The sequence below is a fragment of the Homo sapiens genome, chromosome 3 (assembly GCF_000001405.40).
Source record: "Homo sapiens chromosome 3, GRCh38.p14 Primary Assembly".
Taxonomy (NCBI): Eukaryota; Metazoa; Chordata; class Mammalia; order Primates; family Hominidae; genus Homo; species Homo sapiens.
The window spans coordinates 112204697-112226246 of NC_000003.12; the positions used below are offsets into that span (position 1 = coordinate 112204697).

Consider the following 21550-nt stretch of genomic DNA (forward strand, 5'->3'; position numbering starts at 1 on the left):
CAAAAATGTAGTACGCCAGGGTGTTTTAATTTAAAACAAGTTGCCCTAAATGCCATAAAAATCCTGGGGGTTGCATCCATTTTTTATTATTTTATAATTTATATCCAAAATGATGATTCTGAGTAGTCAAAACAAAATTAGTTTATGTTTGTTGTGACACATGTGGGCAAAGTTTTTATTAAAGTAGTTCAAGATTTAAAAATATATTTATTAAAAGATTATGCTTTCTTCACTAAATTCACTTGTGTAATTTCATTCTGGGATAACGCAGAATAAGTTATTTTTAATTTCTCAAAAAAATTCGATGCCCTCTCTCACCATTCCTATTCAACATAGTGTTGGAAGTTCTGGCCAGGGCAATCAGGCAGGAGAAGGAAATAAAGGGTATTCAGTTAGGAAAAAAGGAAGTCAATTTGTCCCTGTTTGCAGATGACATGATTGTATATCTAGAAAACCCCATCGTCTCAGCCCAAAATCTCCTTAAGCTCATAAGCAACTTCAGCAAAGTCTCAGGATACAAAATCAATGTACAAAAATCACAAGCATTCTTACACACCAATAACAGTCAAACAGAGAGCCAAATCATGAGTGAACTCCCATTCACAATTGCTTCAAAGACAATAAAATACCTGGGAATCCAACTTACAAGGGACGTGAAGGACCTCTTCAAGGAGAACTACAAACCACTGCTCAACGAAATAAAAGAGGATACAAACAAATGGAAGAACATTCCATGCTCATGGGTAGGAAGAATCAATATCGTGAAAATGGCCATACTGCCCAAGGTAATTTATAGATTCAATGCCATCCCCATCAAGCTACCAACAACTTTCTTCACAGAATTGGAAAAAACTACTTTAAAGTTCATATGGAACCAAAAAAGAGCCCACATCGCCAAGTCAATCCTAAGCCAAAAGAACAAAGCTGGAAACAGCATGGTACTGGTACCAAAACAGAGATATGGATCAATGGAACAGAACAGAGACCTCAGAAATAATGCTGCATATCTACAACTATCTGATCTTTGACAAACCTGAGAAAAACAAGCAATGGGGAAAGGATTCCCTATTTAATAAATGGTGCTGGGAAAACTGGCTAGCCAAATGTAGAAAGCTGAAACTGGATCCCTTCTTTACACCTTATACAAAAATCAATTCAAGATGGATTAAAGACTTAAACATTAGACCTAAAACCATAAAACCCTAGAAGAAAACCTAGGCATTACCATTCAGGACATAGGCATGGGCAAGGACTTCATGTCTAAAACACCAAAAGCAATGGCAACAAAAGCCAAAATTGACAAATGGGATCTAATTAAACTAAAGAGCTTCTGCACAGCAAAAGAAACTACCATCAGAGTGAACAGGCAACCTACAAAATGGGAGAAAATTTTAGCAACCTACTCATCTGACAAAGGGCTAATATCCAGAATCTACAATGAACTCAAACAAATTTACAAGAAAAAAACAACCCCATCAAAAAGTGGGCAAAGGACATGAACAGACACTTCTCAAAAGAAGACATTTATGCAGCCAATAGATGCATGAAAAAATGCTCATCATCACTGGTCATCAGAGAAATGCAAATCAAAACCACAGTGAGATAACATCTCACACCAGTTAGAATGGCCATCATTAAAAAGGAAACAACAGGTGCTGGAGAGGATGTGGAGACATAGGAACAGTTTTACACTGTTGGTGGGAGTAGAAACTAGTTCAACCATTGTGGAAGAGTGTGGCAATTCCTCAAGGATCTAGAACTAGAAATACCATTTGACCCAGCCATCCCATTACTGGGTAGATACCTAAAGGATTATAAATCATGTTACTATAAAGACACATGCACACATATGTCTATTGCGGCACCATTCACAATAGCAAAGACTTGGAACCAACCCAAATGTCCATCAATGATAGACTGGATTAAGAAAATGTGGCCCATATACACCATGGAATACTACGCAGCCATAAAAAAGGATGGGTTCATGTCCTTTGTAGGGACATGGATGAAGCTGGAAACCATCATTCTGAGCAAACTATCACAAGGACAGAAAACCAAACACCACATATTCTCACTCGTAGGTGGGATGTGAACAATCAGAACACCTGGACACAGGGCAAGGAACATCACACACCGGATCCTGTCGTGGGGTCGGGGGCTGGGGGGAGGGATAAGCAGTAGGAGAAATAACTAATGTAAATGACGAGTTAATGGGTGCAGCAAACCAACATGGCACATGTTTACATATGTAATAAACCTGCACGTTGTGCACATGTACCCTAGAACTTAAAGTATAATAATAATAATAATTTGAATTTAGACATGTTAAAGTATATATTTATACTAGTAAATGATCATACTAATTTGAAATCAAATAGCTAAAATACTGAAGCATCTATTCGAAGGGAGAAAATAGTCAAAATTCCTACTATTTTGTGATAGTTGATACAGTCAGTCTTTCTGCATATTTCAAAAAAAGGTTTCTTGAAACCTAGTATAGCTAAGAAAGTGGGAGATTTCAAAGATGATTGTAGATTTCAGCTTGGGAAATTGGGTTTCCATTGAAATTCTGAAGGGATAGTAGGATAAGAGAAGACAAATTTCTTTTCAATATGCTGCTTGTAATGTTTGCACAGTACTTTGTCAGAGGGATATAGTCAGCAGCTACCTATATGATCTACGGCTCTGGATAAAATCTGAGCTATAGACATGAATTTGGGAGTCATTAGACTATGAATGACAGTTGATGTCACAAAAGTAGATGAGACAGCATGGCCTGCCCTTTATTATTTAATTCACATCTATGTCTCTTCCCTCATTTTCCACATCCTGAAAACATATTTAACATCTCTCCAATCTCCACTCTGACCAATTCATTCCTGAGCTTCAGTCATTGGAAGTAGTGTTCCTTAATGTGTCATGGTGTTGTTTCTATGTTTTCCCTTGTTCTTGTTGTTTATTATGCAATGTACTTGTAGTTATTCTCTTTTTTGTCTCCTAGACATTATTAAAAATTCAACTCAAGTATTGCTTTCCCTTGAATACCTTCCTTCTCCGACCCTACTATTCTGCATAAGAAGCTCCTTCTGTCTGTTCCCATTGTACTCTGTGTATTCCTCTATCATACTAGAGAGATATAAAAATATCTATCCAGTATAAAAATAATAAAATGAACCTTCAAGTACTCACCACCCTGCTAAGACTGAGAATATTGCCAATACCTTTTAAACTCACTTTGTGTCCCTTTGACACACACCATTTTAAAATTCATTTCTGGAAATACAAAATCAGTGCTTCAAGTATGCATATTATCTATTGAGTTACTATAAAAATCACCTTCAAAAATTAAAGTTTGGAGACGTGAGGAAGAAATTCATACACTCCTTCAGAAAATTGTCTGTTGCTGGTGTTGAAAAACAAGGCTAGGAAATCTCCCTGTCAGACATATAACACTTCCATACACACATAAATTTTAGATTACCTTAAGTAGTGCCTCTAGAATATAAAGTGTAAGAAAACAGTAGTTAGTGTGTTTTAATTCGCTGTGGTAGATTACATTTAACTGGGATATCCAAGAGATTATAAAGGGAAATATATTCATTAATATCACAAGGTATCCAACATGTTCAAATTCCTCAGTAAATACTATTGTATGGCATATACGAAAAAAGAAGTATCTGTAAAACAAAAAGACAGTTTTATCTGATAAAAGGTTTACATTAAATGATTTTCATATATACTCATTTCTGTTCTACTTATCAACAGCTGCAGAGCCTTCTTTAATAATTCTGAAAGCAGCCACCACTAGCTAACACGTTCTGGCATCCCACTTCAGATACTGTCCTTTTAATTTCTTCCACTGATCCTCCTCTGTCTTGAGTCTAGTTTCTCCTTTTTCTTTCTCTCCCTCCTTAAATCTCATTCACTTTTTCTTTTTACTTTTAATGGAAATATTTTTGGTATAACACAGGAGAAATTCAAACTGGAATTTTTTTTAAATAAAGAGAATACTTTCTAGCTTTTGATAATTCCTATTTTCAGAGATGAATACTATTAGTTTGAATATTGTTCCAACTTTTTATGTTTATAAAATGATTATCCATAAACATAAAAGAAGTTATATGACACATTTTTCTGTAAGCTGCATTTTTCCCTTTTAACAACGTATCATGAGCATCTTCTCTTGTCAAGGTATAAAATTGGGATCAAAGCCTAGGATGCATGGTGGTGGAATATATGGATCCAAATTTTATCACAAAATTTAAATTAATGTATATGCTTTGAAAAATAGCTTCCATATTCAATATGATGGAGAGTAGAAATGTAGATAAAAAGATTTACTTTAATATTTTAATTATTCAAGTAGTATAGTAATACACTATTGTTGTTAAAATTCACATGATAATGATTAATTAATTGCCGATTGAAGACTGGGTAAGTACCAGATCATTTTCTCATTCTCAAAGGTACATCTATGCCATAGCCCAGAAGCTTTTACAATTTTGGATACCATTTGAAAAAAAAATATGATGAAATTATGAGTGCAGTAATATATAGTCTGTGCTCACATTGCCAGGGCCCTCCAAGGCCTCTGGCAGTTACTCTGTGATGGGAGCTGCAGAGTTTAAGCCTTGTTAACTTTGTGATAACCTCTCTGTCCTCTCTCCAGTCTGCTTTTCTTGATCTCTTCCAGCAGCAAAACCATGTTTGGCAAAGCATGGCACTGGAGGTTACCTTTGCTTAAATTTATGGTTAAATTTGCAGTCACTGATCTCATTCATTTTGTCACTAGCTATATTTCTTTCCCTTGAATCTAAGAAAAAAAAGAAATTCCAATTGAAAAGGAAGAAGTAAAATGGTCTCTATTTGTGGATGACATAATCCTATATATTGAAAATCCTAGAGAATGTGCAAAAATCAACTAGAGCTAATAAACAAAATAGCAAAGTTTCAGGAAACAAAATCGATATATAAAAATCAGTTGTATTTCTATACACTAGAAAGTACTGATCTGAAAATGAAATTATGAAAACAATTATATTTAAAATAGCACCAAAAACAACAAAATAGTTAGGATTAATGTTAACCTAAAACTTGCGTGCTCAAAACAACAAAACATTACCAAAATAAGTTAAAGATTTAAATAAAAGGTAAGACATTCCATGTTCATGGTTTGGAAGGCTTAATATTGATAATATGACAATGCTACCCAAAGCAATCTACAGATTAAATTAAATCCTATAAAAATCTTGACCTTTTTCTCTATTTTGCAGAAACAGGCAAGATAATCTAAAATTTATATGGAATTCTAAGGGACCTCAACTAGTTACAACAATCTTGAAAAAGAAAGTTGAAGGACTTATACTTCCTGATATCAAAATTGTATACCAAGTGTGGAAAACAATTTGGTGGTTACTCAAGAAACTAAATATAGAATTACCACACAGTCCTGCAATTTTGCCCCTGGGATATGCCCTTGAGTAGAAAGCAGGTATTCAAATAAAAACTTGCACATGAATGTTCATGGCAGCACTATTCATAATAGCCAAAAGGCAGAAACAACTCAAATGTCCATAAACTGATGAATGGGTAAATAAAATGTGGTATATATACCATGGAACGTTATTTAACCTTAAATAGGAATCACATATTGATACATGCTACAAAGAGGATGACCCTTATGCTACTAACACATTCTATTATGTGGATGAAAACATTAGGCTAAGTCAAAGAAGCGAGAAACACAAGGCTACATAGTGATGATTTCATTTATGTGAAACATTTGAAATAAGTAAATTCACAGGGACAGAAAACAGACTGGTGCTTTCCAGGAGCAGGGCAAAAAGGCAAAATGGGGAATGACTGCTTAATGAATACCCAGTTTATTTTTGGACTAATAAATAACACTAAATTATACACTTTAAAATGGTTAATGGTTAACTTATGTATATGAAATTTACCTCAATTAAAAAGAGAATACTATTCCTATCCTTTTTATTCTTTAAGTAACTTTATGTATGTACATAAGAAATTTAGGGTGGTGGCTGACCCCCACATTTCTAATAAACATTCTGTAGCTATTTATGCCCTGTGACACTCATCAGTCTCCTCTGAGGTGGCTACCACCCACTTCAAAGCTTTAAATCAATTGTAAAGACAGGAAAAAAACCCTTTATTTTTTTTAAAAATAAAAAATTAAAAGGATGCAGCTAAGGTTTATAGTGGATGTTGGCCAGATCATTTTTCTTTTATATTATGCCATAATCTCCTTTGATTTTTATAAAAACTCTAACAATATATGGTGGTACCAAAATTTGTGGTGAGTTTGAAGGCTGATTTAGTAACAGGTATAAAAAATGAATTTGTTAATACAGATTATTTTTGTTTTCTTACTTTAGGTATGTTTGTGAGCATTTTCTATGACTGTAAATAAGGCCATTTTTCAGATAATAAAATATGCAAAAATTTTTAAAAAGAAATTTCATTGTAAAATTCCTCAAAATATTTTGCAAAATATTCAGGATAGGGGGCAGTTCCAAGATAGCCGAATAGGAACAGCTCCAGTCTACAGCTCCCAACATGAGTGACACAGAAGACAGGTGATTTCTGCATTTCCAGCTGAGGTACCGGGTTCATCTCACTGGGGCTTGTTGGACAGTGGGTGCAGGACAGTGGGTGCAGTGCACCGAGCATGACCGAAGCAGGGCAAGGCATCGCCTCATCTGGGAAGTGCAAGGGGTCGGGGGATTCCCTTTCCTAGCCAAGTGAAGCTGTGACAGATGAAATCTGGAAAATCGGGTCACTCCCACCCTAATACTGCACTTTTCCAATGGTCTTAGCAAACGGCACACCAGGAGATTATATCCCGCACCTGGCTCGGAGGGTCCCACGCCCACGGAGCCTCACTCATTGCTAGCACAGCAGTCTGAGATCGAACTGCAAGGCAGCAGCAAGGCTGGGGGAGGGGCGCCCACCATTGCTGAGGCTTGAGTAGGTAAATAAAGTGGCCGGGAGGCTCAAGCTGGGTGGAGCCCACTGCAGCTCAAGGAGGCCTGCCTTCCTCTGTAGACTCCACCTCTGGGGGCAGGGCATAGCCGAACAAAAGGCAGCAGAAACCTCTGCAGACTTAAATGTCCCTGCCTGACAGCTTTGAAGAGAGTAGTGGTTCTCCCAGCACGGAGTCTGAGATCTGAGAACGGACAGACTGCCTCCTCAAGTGGATCTCTGACCCCCGAGTAGCCTAATTGGGAGGCACCCCCCAGTAAGGGCAGACTGACACCTCACAAGGCCGAGTAACCCTCTGAGATGAAACATCCGGAGGAATGATCAGGCAGCAACATTTGCTGTTCAGCAATATTCGCTGTTCTGCAGCCTCTGCTGCTGATACCCAGGCAAACAGGGTCTGGAGTGGACCTCCAGCAAACTCCAACAGACCTGCAGCTGAGGGTCCTGACTGTTAGAAGGAAAAGTAACAAACACAAAGGACATCCACACCAAAACCCCATCTGTACGTCACCATCATCAAAGACCAAAAGTAGATAAAACCACAAAGATGGGGAAAAAACAGAGCAGAAAAGCTGAAAATTCCAAAAATCAGAGCACCTCTCCCCCTCCAAAAGAACATAGCTCCTCACCAGCAACAGAACAAAGCCGGATGGAGAATGACTTTGATGAGTTGAGAGAAGAAGGTTTCAGATGATCAAACTTCTCCGAGCTAAAGGAGGAAGTTCGAACCCATGGCAAAGAAGCTATAAACCTTGAAAAAAGATTAGACAAATGGCTAACTAGAATAACCAGTGTAGAGAAGTCCTTAAAGGACCTGATGGAGGTGAAAACCATGGCACAAGAACTACATGATGAATGCACAAGCTTCAGTAGCCAATTAGATCAACTGGAAGAAAGGGTATCAGTGATTGAAGATCAAATAAATGAAATGAAGCAAGAAGAGAAGTTTAGAGAAAAAAGAGTAAAAAGAAATGAATAAAGCCTCCAAGAAATATGGGACTATGTGAAAAGACCAAATCTACATCCGATTGGTATACCTGAAAGTGACAGGGAGAATGGAATCAAGTTGGAAAACACTCTGCAGGATATTATCCAGGAGAGATTCCCCAACCTAGCAAGGCAGGCCAACATTCAAATTCAGGAAATACAGAGAATGCCACAAAGATACTCCTCAAGAAGAACAACCCCAAGACACATAATTGTCAGATCCACCAAAGTTGAAATGAAGGAAAAAATGTAAAAGGCAACCAGAGAGAAAGGTCAGGTTACCCACAAAGGGAAGCCCATCAGAATAATAGCAGATCTCTCAGCAGAAACTCTACAAGGCAGAAGACAATGGGGGCCAATATTCAACATTCTTAAAGAAAAGAATTTTCAACCCAGGATTTCATGTCCAGCCAAACTAAGCTTCATAAGTGAAGGAGAAATAAAATCCTTTACAGAAAAGCAAATGCTGAGAGACTTTGTCACCACCAGGCCTGCCCTACAAGAGCTCCTGAAGGAAGTACTAAACATGGAAAGGAACAACTGGTAGCAGCCACAGCAAAAACAAGCCAAATTGTAAAGACCATCTATGCTAGGAAGAAACTGCATCAACTAATGGGCAAAATAACCAGCTAACATCATAATGACAGGATCAAATCCACACATAACAATATTAACCTTAAATATAAATGGGCTAAATGCTCCAATTAAAAGACACAGACGGGCAAGTTGGATAAAGAGTCAAGACCCATCAGTGTTCTGTATTCAGGGGACCCATCTCATGTACAGAGACACACATAGGCTCAAAATAAAGGGATGGAGGAAGATCTACCAAGCAGATGGAAAGCAAAAAACAGCAGAGGTTGCAATCCTAGTCTCTGATAAAACAGACTTTAAACCAACGAAGATCAAAAGAGACAAAGAAGGCCATTACATAATGGTAAAGGGATCAATTCAACAAGAAGAGCTAGCTATCCTAAATATATATGCACCCAATACAGGAGCACCCAGATTCATAAAGCAAGTTCTTAGAGACCTAGAAAGAGACTTAAGACTCCCACACAATAATAATGGGAGACTTTAACACCCCACTGTCAACATTGGACAGAACAACGAGACAGAAAGTTAACAAGGATATCCAGGAATTGAACTCAGCTCTGCACCAAGCACACCTAATAGACATCTACAGAACTCTCCACCCCAAATCAACAGAATATACATTCTTATTAGCACCACATCACACTTATTCCAAAATTGACCACATAGTTGGAAGTAAAGCACTCCTCAGCAAATGTAAAAGAACAGAAATTATAACAAACTGTCTCTCAGACCACAGTGCAATCAAATTAGAACTCAGGATTAAGAAACTCACTCAAAATCGCTCAACTACATGGAAACCGAACAACCAGCTGCTGAGTGACTACTGGGTACATGACAAAATGAAGGCAGAAATAAAGATGTTCTTTGAAACCAATAAGAACAAAGACACAGCATACCAGAATCTCTGGGACACATTTAAAGCAGTGTGTAGAGGGAAATTTGTAGCACTAAATGCCCACAAAAGAAAGCAGGAAAAATCTATAATTGACACCCTAACATCACAATTAAAAGAACTAGAGAAGCAAGAGCAAACACATTCAAAAGCTAGCAGAAGGCAAGAAATAACTAAGATCAGAGCAGAACTGAAGGAGATAGAGACACGAAAAACCGTTCAAAAAATCAATGAATCCAGGAGCTGGTTTTTTTGAAAAGATCAACAAAATTGATAGACCACTAGCAAGACTAATAAAGAGGAAAAGACAAAAGAATCAAATAGATGCAATAAAAAATGATAAAGGGGATATCACCACCAATCCCCTAGAAATACAAACTACCCTCAGAGAATACTATAAACACCTCTACACAAATAAACTAGAAAATCTACAAGAAATGGATAAATTCCTGGACAATACACCCTCCCAAGACTAAACCAGGAAGAATTTGAATCTCTGAATAGACCAATAACAGGCTCTGAAATTGAGGAAACAATTAATAGCTTACCAACCAAAAGAAGTCCAGGACCAGATGGATTCACAGCCGAATTCTACCAGAGGTACAAGGAGGAGCTGCTACCATTCCTTCGGAGACTATTTCAATCAATAGAAAAAGAGGGAATCCTCCCTAACTCATTTTATGAGGCCAGCATCATCCAGATATCAAAGCCTGGCAGAGACACAACAAAAAAAGAGAATTTTAGACCAATATTCCTGATGAACATCGATGCAAAAATCCTCAATAAAATACTGGCAAACCGAATCCAGCAGCACATCAAAAAGCTTATCTACTATGATCAAGTGGGCTTCATCCCTGGGATGCAAGTCTGGTTCAACATACACAAATCAATAAATGTAATCCAGCATATAAAACGAACCAAAGGCAAAAATCACATGATTATCTCAATAGATGCAGAAAAGGCCTTCAACAAAATTCAAAGCCCTTCATGCTAAAAACTCTTAATAAATTAGGTATTGATGGGACGTATCTCAAAATAATAAGAGTTATTTATGACAAACCCACAGCCAATATCATACTGAATGGGCAAAAACTGAAAGCATTCCCTTTGAAAACTGGCACAAGACAGGGATGCCCTCTCTCACCATTCCTATTCAACATAGTGTTGGAAGTTCTGGCCAGGGCAATCAGGCAGGAGAAGGAAATAAAGGGTAGTCAATTAGGAAAAGAGGAAGTCAAATTGTCCCTGTTTGCAGATGACATGATTGTATATTTAGAAAACCCCATCGTCTCAGCCCAAAATCTCCTTAAGCTCATAAGCAACTTCAGCAAAGTCCCAGGATAAAAAATCAATGTACAAAAATCACAAGCATTCTTATACACCAATAACAGACAAACAGCCAAATCATGAGTGAACTCCCATTCACAATTGCTTCAAAGAGAATGAAATACCTAGGAATCCAACTTACAAGGGATGTGAAGGACCTCTTCAAGAAGAACTACAAACCACTGCTCAACAAAATAAATGAGGATACAAACAAATGGAAGAACATTCCATGCTCTGGGGTAGGAAGAATCAATATTGTTAAAATGGTCATACTGCCCAAGGTAATTTATAGATTCAATACTATCCCCAACAAGCTACCAATGACTTTCTTCACAGAATTGGAAAAAACTACTTTAAACTTCATATGGAACCAAAAAAGAGCCCACATTGCTAAGTCAATCATAAGCCAAAAGGACAAAGCTGGAGGCATCACGCTACCTGACTTCAAACTATACTACAAGGCTGTGGTAACCAAAACAGCATGGTACTGGTACCAAAACAGAGATATAGACGAATGGAACAGAACAGAGCCCTCAGAAATAATACCACACATCTACAACCATCTGATCTTTGACAAACCTGAGAAAAACAAGAAATGGGGAAAGGATTCCCTATTTAATAAATGGTGCTGGGAAAACTGGCTAGCCATATGTAGAAAGCTGAAATGGGATCCCTTCCTTACACCTTATACAAAAATCAATTCAAGATGGATTAAAGACTTAAATGTTAGACCTAAAACCATAAAAACCCTAGAAGAAAACCTAGGCAATACCATTCAGAACATAGGCATGGGCAAGGACTTCAGGACTAAAACACCAAAAGCAATGGCAACAAAAGCCAAAATTGACAAATGGGATCTAATTAAACTAAAGAGCTTCTGCACAGCAAAAGAAACTACCATCAGAGTGAACAGGCAACCTACAGAATGGGAGAAAATTTTTGCAATATACCCATCTGACAAAGGGCTAATATCCAGAATCTATAAAGAACTCAAACAAATTTACAAGAAAAAAACAAACAACCCCATCAAAAAGTGGGCAAATGATATGAACAGACACTTCTCAAAAGAAGACATTTATGCAGCCAAAAGACACATGAAAAAATGCTCATCATCACTCGCCATCAGAGAAATGCAAATCAAAATCACAATGAGATACCATCTCACACCAGTTAGAATGGCAATCATTAAAGTCAGGAAACAACAGGTGCTGGAGAGGATGTGGAGAAATAGGAACACATTTACACTGTTTGTGGGGCTGTAACCGAGTTCAACCATTGTGGAAGACAGTGTGGCGATTCCTCAAGGATCTAGAACTAGAAATACCATTTGACCCAGCCATCCCATTACTGGGTATATACCCAAAGGATTATAAATCATGCTGCTATAAAGACACATGCACACATATGTTTATTGTGGCACTATTCACAATAGCAAAGACTTGGAACCAACCCAAATGTCCATCAATGATAGACTGGATTAAGAAAATATGTCACATATACACCGTGGAATACTATGCAGCCATAAAAAGGGATGAGTTCATGTCCTTTGTAGGGACATGGATGAAGCTGGAAACCATCATTCTCAGCAAACTATTGCAAGGACGAAAAACCAAACACCACATGTTCTCACTCATAGGTGGGAACTGAACAATGAGAACACTTGGACACATGGTGGGGAACATCACACACTGGGGCCTGTTGTGGGGTGAGGGGAGGGGGGAAGGATAGCATTAGGAGATATACCTAATGTAAATGACGAGTTAATGAATGAAGCACACCAACGTGTCACATGTATGCATATGTAACCTGCACGTTGTGCACATGTACCCTAGCACTTATAGTATAATAACAAAAAATTCAAGATACCATTTTAAAAGAAAAAACAGGGAATTTCAAGTGAATATAATAGCATTTCTTATAAGGTTCAAAAGCACTTACTTTGATGGGCCCTCTTTTTCCTTTCTGGTATTATACACCCAATTAAGTAGTAGTTTTCTAGCAAAGGTAACTGTTTTTTGGCTTTCAGAATAATTCTTTATTGTATCAAGACTCATACATCTAGAAAAAGAGAGAAATCTTTAAACATGCTTTAAACATTTTGAGATAAGTTTAATGTTGTACTGGAAGTTTAATGTTGTACATAAGTTTAATTTTGCACAAAACAGGAAGACTATTTTGTGCCATGATGGTTGGATTAAGACATTTTCATGGGCGTGGTTCATGAAGTTAGATTGTCAGGCTCACTTGTTAAACAGAGAGTATTAAAAATTGGAGATACATGGTTGAAAATAATAGAGATTTCAAGGTTCAGGGATAGAAAACATACTATGTTTCAAATATTTGGGATTCAGACATCTGGGTTTTCATGTTAGATTCCCCATTGTCTGGTATGGCAATGGACAAATTACCTCATTAACTTGCTTGCTAATCTACAAAATAAGGATAAAAATACCAATGTTAGGCTGGGATAATTAAATGGGAAAGCATGTATAAAGCATCCAACTCATATCACACATCTTCCCATCTCTTTGTCTTCACCTTCAAAGCAGATAGTAAGGTTTAGAATGACTAAAAATGAGTTAAAATAGTAACTTAGAAAAGTCACTGGTCATAAGAGCTCAATGTCATTTTGGTAGCACTTGTCCCAAGTTTTCTGTAGCTTTCTGCTAGGTTTTTTTTTTTTTTTTTAATTGAGACAGCTCAGATCCGTGTATATGATCATGTCTTGTTTAGCCAATCTCCTTGGCTTTTCAAGGAATTTACCTGCTGCTGACCAGATACTTTCATCGTCATGATCAGAAGGAGAGTAAGGCTCTGCCCTTGGATGTGAGGCCCTACCTTATAATGTGGCTTAATGGAAGGGCATTGGAAACCCAAGTTCAAAGGTAAACCTTGCCCTTTCTATGAATTATAATGTTCTTACTTTAAAACTTGTATATATATTTTTTTTTTTACTACAGGGATACTAACGTAATTGAAAAGAATGAAGTCATTCAATTATCTGATATTCAATATAATATGCGGTAAATAAATGGAAAATGTTGAATATGTATATGACTTGATTCATTTATAATTGAAAAAATATTTATTCAACATCTGCTATTGTTGTTAAATGCCAAAGATAAACCATAAAGAAATACTGGTCTGCCCTCAAGGCTGCAGCAGACTAGTGGGATGAAACATATAAATACCAATTGCAGTAAAACGTGGTAAGTGTTGCCACAGAGATAATAAATGAGAGGGCTCCCTGGACTCAAAAAAATAAGCATTTAATATAGTCTTATTGTGATATCTATGTGTGACACTTTGCAGCACAAATTACTGAGTAATTCAGGCTCTTGAACTCCTATTTTACATCAACATGTTCACTGTTTAGACCTGATTTAGGGAAACAGTATGATCTATTTAACCGGATAGTGAGGCAGCTTGGCTTTGAATCCCAACTCTGTAATTTATGAGTCAAATGACCTTGCATAAATTATTTAATTTCTCTTTGTTTTATTTTCCTAACCTGCATCGTGAATATAACAACAGCATCTAATAAGATTCTTCTGAGGTAAAATAGGTTAATACATGTAAAGTGTTTAAAACTGTACCTGGTATGACACTCAATAAAAAGAAACTATGTGCTCAAAGTATTATTTTTTAGGCAATTATACAAGCACTTAGCATAGGTCCTGGTGCTCCTGTTTAAACCCTCCACTCTTTCTTTTCTTAGACTTGTTTTTCTTGCCACAGGTCACCCTGACACATGAGGCACTCATAGGAATAATTAGCAAATGGTAAAATCAGCTCAGCAAAGAAGCAAGAACTGAATATAAGCACATCAATAGAAAGTTCTCCAGGGGCTGGAATACCATTTTGCTAATATTAATATTCCCTACAGTGACTGGCATATATTGGTAATATATAGCTTTGCACATATTGGTTTTCAATGTATATCTCTTACATGCATGCATAAAAAATGTAATATATTCCAAAGTTTGCCTTCATAGGCATATGTTGCTTCTGCCTTTGGGGAACATTTAAAGAGAAAAAAATCAAGGCAGTGGGCTGAATTGCTCTATGTTGTTTTATTTTTATTTTTATTTTTGAGACAGAGCCTTGCTCTGTCCCCCAGGCTGGAGTGCAGTGGCACAATCTCAGCTCACTGCAACCTCTGCCTTCGGGGTTCAAGCAATTCTCCTATCTCAGCCTCCTGAGTAGCTGGGACTACAGGTGCATGCCAGCGTGCCTGGCTAATTTTTTTGTATTTTTAGTAGAGACAGGGTTTCACCATATTGGTCAGGCTGGTCTCGAACTCCTGACCTCAAGTGATCCACCCACCTCGGCCTCCTAAAGTGCTGGGATTACAAGCATGAGCCACTATGCCCGGCCTGCTATTTTTAACATCTCCTGGAAAATATATTAATGATGCTTTTTATTGTGTCATTTATTAAAAACTTCCACTGTACAATGTGCACCTTTCTTCTTTAAAATATGCACGGTATTGTTTTGAATTGATCACATTTGCCCAGCCCTCTCAACTCCCTCAACTTTACTAGGTCACCTAAAGCATTGGAAGTGCCTGGATCAAAAGGACAAACAGAGACCCTGGTACCATAGATGAAAATATTCAAGCATTATAAATCAAGGAAACAAAATTTTAAATAAGATATATTTCATCTTCCTATCATGACACATATAATGTCATAATGATTTGTATGACTAGGCTTAAAATGAAAACTCTTAGTTACTTTGAAAGTCTGTACTTGAAATGAAATGCAAATATGCCCTAATTTCTGGCTGCTTCTTTTCTAACATCTAACTTTATCCTTCAGTGTACCACAAGGTTGTACATGTGACTTAACACAAGGTTGGCACATCCTTCAGGTTTAGGGGTATGCACACCAAAGGCCGGGTTTGCTCATGAGATGATGGACCAGGACTAGAGGCCCAAATAGACTCTGGAAATAAGCTTAGGACAATTTAAGCAGGGAATTTTGGTGTCTTCAGGACTGTTGTCTAGAGCTAGAAGGTATGTCTGGGTGGACACTGTTGCAGTTGCACTGCAGTTTAACCCCCCTCTTTGCCCAATCATAGATCCAGCATTCCTCCACAGGGGATGATCTGAGGGTACCCCTCAAAACACCAACTTTGAGGAAACCACTGCTTATTTTGGAGACCTATATCTAAAGAAATCACTACAAGATTACAAATGCATGCTGAGTATTAAGAGAAGATGTTGAAGTACTACCTGTGTATTGGGGAAGATGTGCCTGGAGGGATTAAGGAAGGCTTCACCCTTACTTAGTCTGGCATTCAAATTGTCTAAAAGGAAGAGTTCTTTACCACAGCTTAACTTTTGGCAGGGGGGGACAAAGAACAAAAGAAAGTTTCAGTCAGAAGGAACAGCTTGTTCAAAATCACGGAGGTAAGAATGAATGCAGCAAATTTGGGAAACTGAAAATAGGTAGTTTGGCCTGAGGGTGGGGTATAGAGCAGACAGCTCTGCTGTAATACTATAGTATTAATATTAATAGTAGAGGGAGCCAAGTTACCAGACAAAAACAAGAAAACTCACTTGGGTAATTTCCTAAATGCTGTGGCTTAGAATAGAAGCCATCTCTTGAGAATATACTTACTTTCCCTTCTTCTCACCAAAACTTTCTGCTGCACCAACCAACACCTGGACAGCACTCTGGGACAGAATCTCATTCCTGTATTGTCTCTGGTAGCTTGCCTAAAAAAATATTAATTCAAGTCATTATATAGCATGAATAACGATGACAACTTATTACAATCTTGATGGGAAAAATGTGTGATAAAGAAGTAAAAACAATCAATCTAGTCTGTTTGTAAAAAGAATATTTCTATGGAGTTCAGATTATAAGATTACTGGATAAGGTAGGTCTTGGCTTTGAGTGGAGCCACACTGGTTCTGAAGGAAACTAGAGCTCTTCTAGACATGGAATTAGGTTTTCAAAAAATAAATGGAACTTATTGGCAAATGAGTTTGGGAACTACTGCAAGCTATATCCACATCTCAAAAGTTAATAATGAATATTAAAGGCTCTGAGAAAACCTACAGTAAAAAAAAATCCTACTATACATCTTTATTTAATTGAATTTTCTCAAATATTTCCACAACAGGGCTCTGCTGCCTCATCTGTGATAAGGATTAAAATGATTCTATCTTTGTAACTTATATAATTATTTATAGAATATTTTATAATTTATAAGGAGTATTATAATAACAGATTGCTACTATTTGGCAGAATGCAGTCACTTCTTCATTCAATACATATATATAAAGAGCCTACTGAGCTTCAGGGACTATGTCTGATGATATGGAAACCAGTATCTGACACTGTTCCTGGCATCCATATGCTGAACACTATTCAGAAACTATGTAGACCAACTTCCTTAACTGAAATATATTATGTGACCAAAGATTTCTAGGTTCTGCAGCAGGCATTCTCTCTGCATGATCAGTTTTGAATATTAAACACTGCTTCGTTTTGGGGAAATACTAGAAAGAAATAGCAATGACACTTGAGGATGTGGGATGAAAAAACTTTTCCCATAATTACAGGAATTCAATAGAGTACACTCTTCTCCTTAAATATCATTAAAATATGTTTAAAACAATATTAAATCAAAATATTCTTAGTATCCTCAAGATAAAAATTGTAGTTTGAAAAAATGAGGAAGCTGAAGATTATATGGATCTCGCGAAAGCTTAGCAACACAAATACCAAAGCAATTAGATACTAGAAGATGTTAACTGTTAAATTATCTTTCCCAATGGGAACGCAGAAACCAAATCAACAAATCAAGATGAGCATGAAAATATATCTAAAATTAAGAAGAACTTGGAAGATATTAAGTGAAATGAGGATCTAGAGAACAGAGCAGAGAAATCCAATCTACTTTGAAAAGCGAGATTTATTGATTAAGACACAATAGCACAAAATCAATGATCAAAATATAATAGTAGAACCCAAACATTTGAGGCAATAAATCAAAAAGGTACATGGAGTATACACTGCAGAAAACATAGAATATCACAAGCGAAAAAGAGGTTATTCAGTCACCATAAGTTTCCTCTTTTATAGATTGGGAGAATGGAAACTAAATAGATTAAGTCCTTAGTCACATATCATATTAGTAACAAAAACAAGACTCAAAATGAAGTTTCCTTCATTTATTTTGTGGGTTCTTGTACACCATATTTTCCTGAAATACATTAAAATTGGGAAGTGACTAAAAGACATGGCCTCATAACATTTTTAAGTTACAAGGAAATAGAAATAATTCTACAGGTATCCAAACAAGAAAGGGAGCTGTATTTAATTTCATAAATATTAATTTATTAATTGCATAAAAATCATTCCTTTGTCTTCATATAAATGTATCATTACTTGGATAAAACTCCTATTTTTAGGTCTGAAACATCTTTAAACATTTACTAATCAATTTTTTCCTACAAAAGTAGACAAGAGACACTAGCCAAACCATTGAAAAATACACTTCAAAGATATTCTCAACTGGGAATATTGTTGGAAATAATCAGTGAAAATTATAATATCAATATATTAAAGAATGAAATATGTAATAAAACATATCTATAAAAGGCTTCTTGTTTATAAGAATAATAAGCATAATCATTAAAACAAAACTTAAAGTGTGAAAGTGAAAACAGGGGAATAGGGCATGGTGGTGTCCCTCTGTAGCCCCAGCTACTCTGGGAGACTAAGGCAGGAGGACTCTTTGAGCTCAGGAATTTGAGACCAGTCTGAGCAACATAAAGAAATCTTGTCTCAAAAAATAGAAGAAGAGCACAAAGAGATTTCAGAACATTGAACTAAATTCATATTCCAGCCATGGGTACAAGGCCTAGTAAGCAATTTTTGCTTTTTAAAAAATTAACATAGAGGTAGATTGAGAAAAGGGAAATGCAAACGTGTCTACTCTAAAAGTACATCTATAGTTAACATTTTAGTTAGAAAGTTATAGAGTATTATTGACATTTATATCATTTGTAAGGTAAAATTAGATACTTTTTGAAGTTAGCTTATCAAACAAATAAACAAAGAATGATATATCTCAATACAAAAGAAACAAAGAAAGGAAAGCAGGCAGGCAAAGGAAAAGAAAAAGAAAGAAATTAAACAGCAAGAGAGGAGTGAAAGAAGATAAGAATTGAGATATCAAAATACAACAGCTATTAGATCCTATAATAAACCTCAAATACTCCAAAAAGGTTCAGATTAATTAATTGAGTGAATATTATTTGAGCACCTACTATGTACTACACATTGTGGTATTCACTGAAGACATACAGATAAATAAATCACAGTCTTTAGCCTAAAAAATATTACCTAGGTTTACTAGATTTGCCTACAAGAAAAATTAACTATACTAAAAAGCAAAATGTCAAGTGAAGCAGCAAAATGTCAAGTGAGCTGAGCTGCTGGCTAACCAGCCCCTTGCTTCCCCAGAGTGAAGACCAGCCTGGAACCCTGTCCTCAAAGTAGTAGCACCTGAGAAGAGATGCTGGCTGACCAGCCCTGCACTTCCCCCAAATCACAGATGATCCTGGTTCTCTACCCATGGTAGCATAGCCAGCTCCCTCATTCACAAGGGAGCAGACCCCACATAGGTAGACCAGCCACACAAACTTCTGCAGCCTAAGCAACTGAGGCACTCACAGGCATCAATGACATTGACTGTAGCTGAAGAAACTGTATTGAGGCTATGCTATTGTATCCACCCAGTAAAAAGCTAATGCACCCTACCCAACTGACACCCTGGGACATATCTGCAGGTGAGTCTTTCCCCATGAAAGCCACTATACAAAATTGAAAGAGGCAACTGTTTCACAAGATCTGAAGATATCAATGCAAGGATACAAAAAAAACATGAAAAAGCAATAAAATATCTCACTGTTAAAGGAACACAATAGTTCACCAGCAACTGGTCCCAAAGAAATGGAAATGTAGAAACTCCCTGAAAAGGAATTTACAATAATGATATTAAGGAAACTCAGCAGACACAATAAAATCGAAAAGCAATTCATTATGTGAATAAGAAACTCAACAAAAAGATAGATATTATAAAAAAATAACTGAACAGAAATATTGGAGCTAATTTAATGAATGAAAAAATACAATTGAGAGCTTTGATAACAAACTAGATCAAACAGAAAAAAAGAATCTCTAAACTTGAAGCCAGATATTTTCAAATAACCATGTCAGACAAAAGAGAAAGAAAAAAGAGAAAAAGAGAAAGATACATAGATAAGAAAGAAAGAAAAGAAAAAAGAGAGAAAGAGAGAAAGAAAGAAAGATAGATAGATAGAAAGAGCGAGCCAAAGAACCCAAGAGAGCTCATGGGACCCATGGGACATCATTACACAAACAAATGTTATCATTATGGGAATTTAAGAAGGAGAAGAGATGGGAAAAGGCATAGAAAACATATTTAATAAAGTAATAACAGAAAACTTCCAAGTTTTTGAAAAGATATAGACATCTAGATCCAGGAAGGTCAAATATCCCCCAAAAGATTCAACCTAAAAAATTCTTCTCTGAGGCACATTGTAGTCAAACTGTCAAAAGTCAAAGACAGAGAGAATTTTAAAAATAGAAAAAGTGTCAAGTCACATATAAAGGAATCTCCATTAGAATATCAGCATATTTCTCAGCAGAAACTTTATAGGCCAGAAAAGAATAAGATAATATGGTTGAAGTGATGAAAGACAAAAAAAACTTTCAACCAACAATACTATATCCAGAAAAGCTATCCTTCAGAAATCAAGTGTTTCCCTGACAAGTAAAACCTGAGAGAATTCACCATCACTAGACTGGACTCACAAGAAATGCTTAAAAGTCCAATATCTGGAAGCAAAAGGACAATAACTAAGATTGTAAAAACATATAAAACCCAATGGTAGAGCAGATACACAAATCTTAAAGAAAAAGGAATCAAACCTTATTATTACAGAAAAACACCAATCTTCAAAGATAAACAAACAAAAGGAAATACACACCAACCAAAAAAAAAAACACATGACACCTTTCAATAATATCCCTGAATGTAAACTAATTAAAATTTCCACTTAAAAGATACAGACTGGCTGAATTGATTAAAATATAAGACCCAACTACACACTGCCTATGCCTATTAAAAACTCACTTCACCTGTAAAGACGCCCACAGACTGAAAGTGAAGGGATGAAAAAAGATATTTCTGGCAAACAGAACCCAAAAATGATCAGGAGTAGTTATATAGCTATACTTATAACTGATAAAATAGACTTTAAGTAAAACACTGTAAGAGAAACAAAGAAGTTTACTATATAATGATAAAGGGATCAAATCAGCAAAAGGACATATAAATACCAAAAACCAGAGCACTCAGACACATAAGGCAAAAATTATTAGATCTGAAGGGAGAGAAAGACTCCAATACGATAATAGTTGGGTCTTTAAAACCCCAGTCATAGCATTGGAAGGACTATCTACACAGAAAATCAACAAAGAAACTTTGGATTTAAACTGCACTATAGACAGAACATTTCATTCAAGAACAGCAGAATACATGTTCTTCTCATCAGCACACAGATCATTCTCCAGGATAGAGCATATGGTAGGCCACAAAACAAGCCCCCCAAATTTTTAAAAAATTAAAATCATATCAAGTATCTTTTCTGACCACAATGGAGTAAAACTGGAAATCAGTAACAAGAAGAACATTGGA

The 21550-nt window shown here is 36.4% G+C and overlaps 1 protein-coding gene across 14 annotated transcripts in view; it reads right to left on the minus strand.

Moving 5' to 3' along the window:
* The window catches only part of SLC9C1 (solute carrier family 9 member C1), a 153319-nt gene that overhangs the window by 63799 nt on the left and 67970 nt on the right, over nucleotides 1–21550 (minus strand). For 11 of the 14 annotated variants that reach the window (XM_011512718.2, NM_001320531.2, XM_017006247.2 and 8 more), the window contains 3 exons: nucleotides 16432–16529; nucleotides 12746–12865; nucleotides 3482–3677 (listed from right to left, as the gene is read on the minus strand). In XM_011512718.2, the coding sequence (XP_011511020.1) occupies nucleotides 3482–3677; nucleotides 12746–12865; nucleotides 16432–16529 (414 nt within the window). Of the gene's footprint in view, nucleotides 1–3481; nucleotides 3678–10146; nucleotides 10192–12745; nucleotides 12866–16431; nucleotides 16530–21550 lie in introns of those variants that run through there. The other 3 variants (NR_135297.2, XM_011512727.3, XM_011512726.3) reach the window with 2 other exon arrangements.